Source organism: Homo sapiens, chromosome 2, assembly GCF_000001405.40.
Source record: "Homo sapiens chromosome 2, GRCh38.p14 Primary Assembly".
In the NCBI taxonomy this organism is placed as follows: Eukaryota; Metazoa; Chordata; class Mammalia; order Primates; family Hominidae; genus Homo; species Homo sapiens.
In genome coordinates, this window is record NC_000002.12 from 164,139,029 (window position 1) to 164,145,351 (window position 6,323).

The following is a 6,323-nucleotide window of genomic DNA, read 5'->3' on the forward strand; positions in this document are numbered from 1 at the left end:
AGCGCATTTGTACAAGGGAACATTTAAAGCATGTTTGTTACAGCATTGTTAATAAAAGTAAAATTTGTAAGTAACTTAAATATACATCAGTGGTAAAATAGGTAAGCATTTTTTCTTTTATTCATGTGATTGACTACTATTCTGAAGTTGAAATAAATGGGTCAGGTATTCATTTGATCAAAGCTCAAAAAAAGTAATGTTATAAAAAAAGCAAATTGCAGAATAAAATACACGCACAATGAATACAGCTACATAATATTTGAAAAGATGAAAGACAACACTTTATATTGTTTATTATACATATGTGTGTATATATATGAATGTGTGTGTATATATGCATAATAAACAACAAATTCAAGAAAAAGGTTTTCTCTGTGAAAGGAGGGGAATGAGTTTGGGGAGGTGGTCATAAGGAGCTTTATTTGTAAATGCAGCATTTTACTTTCATAATATTTCATATTTTAGTGTTTGACCATTTCACAATTTTTAAAAATAGTAACAAGAGCTGAGGGAAGTCAAAATGACCATGATTCTTGTATTAACTTACTCGTTACTGCCAAAAGTCTAATACTGATTTTAAATAAGAAATGTATTTAAATGTCTCATATTTATTAGAAACATTTATATTTTTAGCATTTAGTGCCCAGAAGACCATATATCAGGCACGGGAAATACAATGAACAAGAAAGACACGATTATTACCTCTGTAAAGCACTGTCTAGCAATATTTGAATGAAAACACATCCTTTAAAGCAGTGGTCCCCCACCTTTTTGACATCAGGGACCAGCTTCGTGCAAGACAATTTTTCCATGAACTGGGCAGGGGAGGCGAGTGAATGGTTTTGGGATGAAACAGTTCCTTGGCTCATCAGGCCTTAGTTAGATTTTTGTAAGGAGCCACAACCTAGATCCCTTCACAATAGGGTTCACGCTTCTATGAGATTCTAATGCTGCTGCTGCTCTGACAGCAGGCAGAGCTTAGGCGGTAATGCTCACTCACTAGCCACTCATGTCTTGCTGTGTGGCTTGGTTCCTAATAGGCCAGGGACCGGTACTGGTCTGCAGCTTGGGGACCCCTGCTTTAAAACAGTTATTTAGAACATTTTGGGCACTACTAATCTTTTGCAAAGTCATTTATTCATGCAACAGTTATTATTATATCCTATCATGGGTCCTTGTTTCTTGAGATACAGGTGTGAACAGCAACAATAATGATATTCATTGTAATAATGATAATGGTAATAATACCTAACATTTCATAAGTGCTCACTATGTGGGAAGCACTATTTAAGCCATTTACATGTGTTTGTTTATTTCTGACAATACCTACAAAAAGAAAATACTGTTATTATTATTCCAGAATAGATGTTCAATCTCATTTTTATTTCTGATAGCCAGCTTCACATATCTAAAGTTGTCTGAAACAGATTCTTCTGAAGTGTGTGTGTGGGGGTGGGAGAAATCCTTCGACCACCTCCACATACTCTGCCTTTATTTACTCTGAAGTGTGGTGGGGTTTTTTTTCCAATTTTTAAATGGAAACATTGTAATTATACATATTTATGGAATACAATTTGATGTCTTGATACATGTATATGTTGAATGTAATCAAATCAGAGTGGTTAGCATCTACATCACCTCATGCATTTTTCATTTTTTGTGCTGAGAACATTAAAAAACTTCTTTTCTAGCTATTTTGTAACATACCTTACTGTTAACTATCATCACCCTACTGTGCAATAGAAACTAGAACTTATTCCTCCTATCTAACTGTAATTTTATATCTATTGACCAACTTCTCTCCATCTTTCCCTCCCCTTCTCCCTACCTAGTCTCTGATAATCACTGTTTACTTCTATGATATCAACTATTTTTTTCTTTAGATTCCACATATGAGTGAAATAATATACTATTTGTCTTTCTGTGTCTGGTTTATTTAACTTCAAATGATGTTCTACAGCTTCATCTATGTTCTCACAAATGACAGGATTTTTTTATGGCTGAATGATATTTCTTTGTATACATATACCACATTTACTTTATCCATTCATCTGTTGATGGACACTTAGGTTGATTCCATTTCTTGGCTATTGTAAATAGTGCTACAGTAAACATGGGAGTGAAGATATCTTTTCAACATACTGATTTCATATCCTTTGGATATAACCCAGTAGTGAGATTCTGGATCATATGGTTGTTCTATTTTTAATTTTTTTTAGGAATCTGTTTTGTGAAAACTCTGTTTTCCATAATGACTGTGCTAACTGACCATCCCACCAACAGTGTGTAAGTGTTCTCTTTTCTCCAACCTAGCCAACACTTGTTTTCTCTTCTCTTTTTGATAATAGACCTTTCCTACTGGAATGAGTTGGTCTCACTGTGGTTTTGAACTGCATTTTTCTCTGATAGGGATGTTGAACATGTTTATGTCTTCTTTTGAGAAACGTCTACTAAAGTCTTTGAACATTTTTAAATCAGGTTTTTTTTTTTTTCAATTAAGTTCCTTACATATTCTGGATTTTAGTCTTTTGCCAAATGTATAGTTTCCAAATACTTTCTCCCATTGTGTAGGCTGCCACTGCACTCTATTGTTTCCTTTGCTGTGCAAAAACTTTTTAGTTTGATGTAATCCCATTTGTTATTTTTGCTTCTGTTGCTTGTGTTTTTAAGGTCCTATTTTAAGAATCCTTGCCCAGACCAGTATCATAAAGCATTTATCCTAAGTTTTCTTCCAGTAGCTTCATAGCCGTGGGTTTTACATTTAAGTCTTTAATCCATTTTGAGCTGATTTTTTAAATATGGTGAGAGGTAGGGGTCTAGTCATATTTTTGTGTATGTAGCTATCCAGTTTTCTCAGGACATGTATTGAAAAGACTGTCTCTTCCCCAGTGTGTGTTAATGGCACTTTTGTTGGAAATAGGTTGGCTAGACCTGCATGAATTTAATTTTCAGCTATTTTATTCCATTTGTCTATGCATTTGTTTTTAATGGCAAAACTACGCTGTTTTGGTTAGTATAGGTTTATAGTATACTTTGAAGTCACATAGTGTGATACCTCCAGCTTTGTTCTTTTTTTTTTTTTTTTTTCCAGACGGAGTCTTGCTCTGTCACCAGGCTGAAGTGCAGAGGCGTCATCTCAGCTCACTGCAACCTCTGCCTCCCGGTTTCAAGCAATTCTCCTGCCTCAGCCTCCTGAGTAGCTGGGATTATAGGTGTGTGCCACCACACCCGCCTAATTTTTTGTATTTTTATTAGAGACGGGGTTTCACCATGTTAGCCAGGATGGTCTTGATCTCCTGACCTTGTGATCCACCTGCCTTGGCCTCCCAAAGTGCTGGGATTACAGGCGTGAGCCACCGTGCCCAGCTTTGTTCTTTTTGCTCATGATTGCTTTGGCCACTCAGGGTCTTTCATGGTTTCATATGAATTTTAGGATTTTTTTTCTATTTTTTTATTTTATGTATTGAATTCTGCAGCTCCCAAATTTCTGTTGGGTTCTTTTTTATGATACATATCTTTTTGTCGAATTTCTGATTCAAATAATGGACTGTTTTCTGATTTCACTGTATTCTTTTGTATATTACTGAGTCTCCTTAAGATCATCATTTTTAAAAGGCCAGGCATGGTGGCTCACACCTGTAATTCCAGCACTTTAGGAAGCCCAGGCAGGTGGATCATTTGAGGCCAGAAGTTCAAGACCAGTCTGGCAAACATGGTGAAACCCTGTCTCTACTAAAAATGCCAAAAATTAGCCTGGTGTGGTGGCACCTACCTGTAATCCCAGCTACTCAGGTGGCTTGGGAGTCTGAGGCATGAGAATCGCTTGAACCTCAGAGGTTGTAGTGAGCCAAGATCGCACCACTGACTCCAGCCTGGGTGACACAGGGAGACTCTGTATAAAATAAATAAATAAATAAATAAATAAATAAATAAATAAATAAATAAATAAAAAATATATATATATATATCCTCTCAGAAATTTTGTAAGTACGGTTTTCTTTGAGGTCTGTTTCTTGAGAATTATTGTATTTTCTGTGACTGTCAAATGTCCTTGCTTTTCATGTGTCTTGTATCCCTTCATCGATATATGTGCTTCTAGTGGAACGGTTGCATTTTCCTATTTTATAGAGTAGCTTTTGTAAGGAGAAACTGTTTCCTGTAGACGGGTCCTAGGCTGTTGGTTGGGCACGGTACTGACTTTGGTTCTGAATGGACAGCAGCTTGGTCACTGGACAGTCTCTTCAGCTGTAATACCCGTCAGTGATGTGTGCAATTGCCTAGCGGCCTGGGCTAGGGAACTATGCAACCAAGATAGCGCGGTTTGCTGGGGGGTGGGCACAAAGCAGGTTGCTGTCAGGCGGCGTGTGAGTGGGCATGGTGGGCCCATGGGCTGTGCGGTGGGCTTTCGGGGAGTGGGGTTCCTGCCAGTTTAGTTGTTGAGCCAGGTGTGGGCAGGGCTTCCGGCTGGCTGTTTGGCAGCTTTCCCCTTGTACAGGTCCACTTGCTCCCTGGGGATGAGAAGCACCACGGGGGTTCAAATACCGGAATCCCACGTTCTGATGGTTATATGCTCCAGGCAGCCAGGGACGTGGGTCTGCAGAATGTGGCTGAACAACGGCAGGGCCTCAGGATAGGGACAGGCTATGGCTGCCCGCCCCCATCGCAGGGGCGCAGTCAATGGGGCCAGTTTCAAAATGGCGCCAAGGCGAAGTGGCCTCAGTCGCGGGGGTGCGGGGACCACAACACGGGCTGCTGCTCTAGGGCAGTGCAGCTGCGTGAACTCCGGACACCCTTCACAGTCGATTCAGGCCCTGTGAGGACCCAAGGACTCTCTTAAACAAGAAAGGCTGGTGCCTGTGGTGGTAATGGGGACCGCTAGGACCTCCAGTTTATCTTTCCTCCAAAAGGTGACCCCCTGGCTCCGAGTCGACCCAGCGGATGCCTGGCTTTCTCTCTGTGGTACTGTTCTGGGCTTCTATGCTCCTCAGGGATTTTGCCATTCCCCTGGTTCTCTCCCGCTTACTTCCCCAGTCACTCCAGTCAAAATATACTGGTTTATTTGTTGTTTGGGTCGCTTTTTTGTCGGGGGGAGGAGTGCTAGGAACTCTAGTTGGCCATCTTGCTGACTGTGTGTGTGTGTGTGTGTGTGTGTGTGTTTTCTTCATTCTAGCAGATCTTTCTTTTTGTACTGAGCAGCAAGATCAAAGGAGCTCAGAACGTATTCGTACTTAAATACATCTTTTTTTTTTCCATATGTGCACCAGAGGCCTGTGGAAATATTATTTCAGTTGATTTCAATTATACCCTGAAGCTAAGGGTAGGGCATGGTACCACACAGTACAGTACCTTTAGAGTACAATGCAGAACTGCCATATTATTGCAGCTAGAAAAGTTTTCTTCTTTCAAAATATGGCTATAAAGTCATCTTAGGGAGATAAGTAGATTTTATTGTTTCATATAACAAGATAGTAAAATGTAAACAATAGTTGTCTTTATTTTGATGGAGGCCTAAGAATAGGTGGTATCCATACCTCCATTTCAAAACAAAATGCTAGATCCCTAAGCAAGACCTCCCAAGGAGAGGTTCTGAGCAAGCATTGCTGCTGTCAACTGAACCTCTGCTTCCAGGCTTTAAAAGGTATTAGGTAAATTGGAAGAATAAGGTTGTAAATTGGAGAAAAGTTTCTTTAAAGAGAGTTGTGTGTATTCCTCTTAACCCTTTCATCATAGTGGAAGAGAGGGGAGTCACCCTTTCAGCTTAAGCTAAGTGAGAGGGGTTTCAAGACCACTCTTCAAAAAGATTAACTAGTCTTTCATTCAGAATCTACTCCTGAAAAATTTTATAAAGGTGAGAGACTGAGTTGGCTAGTTTCTCTAATGGTAGAGCAAGGAGCCGTAGCAGCTTTCATGGGACTATCTGAAATAAATGGATGAGTTAGTGTTTTCCACGGGTGCAGGTGGGCATCAAATGGGAGAGAGACAGTTTGGATACAATTCAAAAAGACTCTTCCCAGTGTGGCACTGGGTGAGACCCGGAGAGACAGAGTTTGTGTAGAATAGACCATAAGAAACTGGGAACTGGTAAGGGGATAGTAAGCTGGACAAATTTTTTTTTTTTTGCCTGAATTAAAGGAATGAAATATAATAGTTCAGAAGTCTCCAGAACTGAAGGATCCCCCAAAGAATTTGTGAATATACCACAAAAAAAAAAGGAAATGACTCAAATTTAAAACATCTGCCCTCCCAGATGAAACCGATGCCAAATTATCTAGTTTCTAATCATGAGTGATCTTTGCTGTCCTTTACCACTCCCCCTTCCCTCC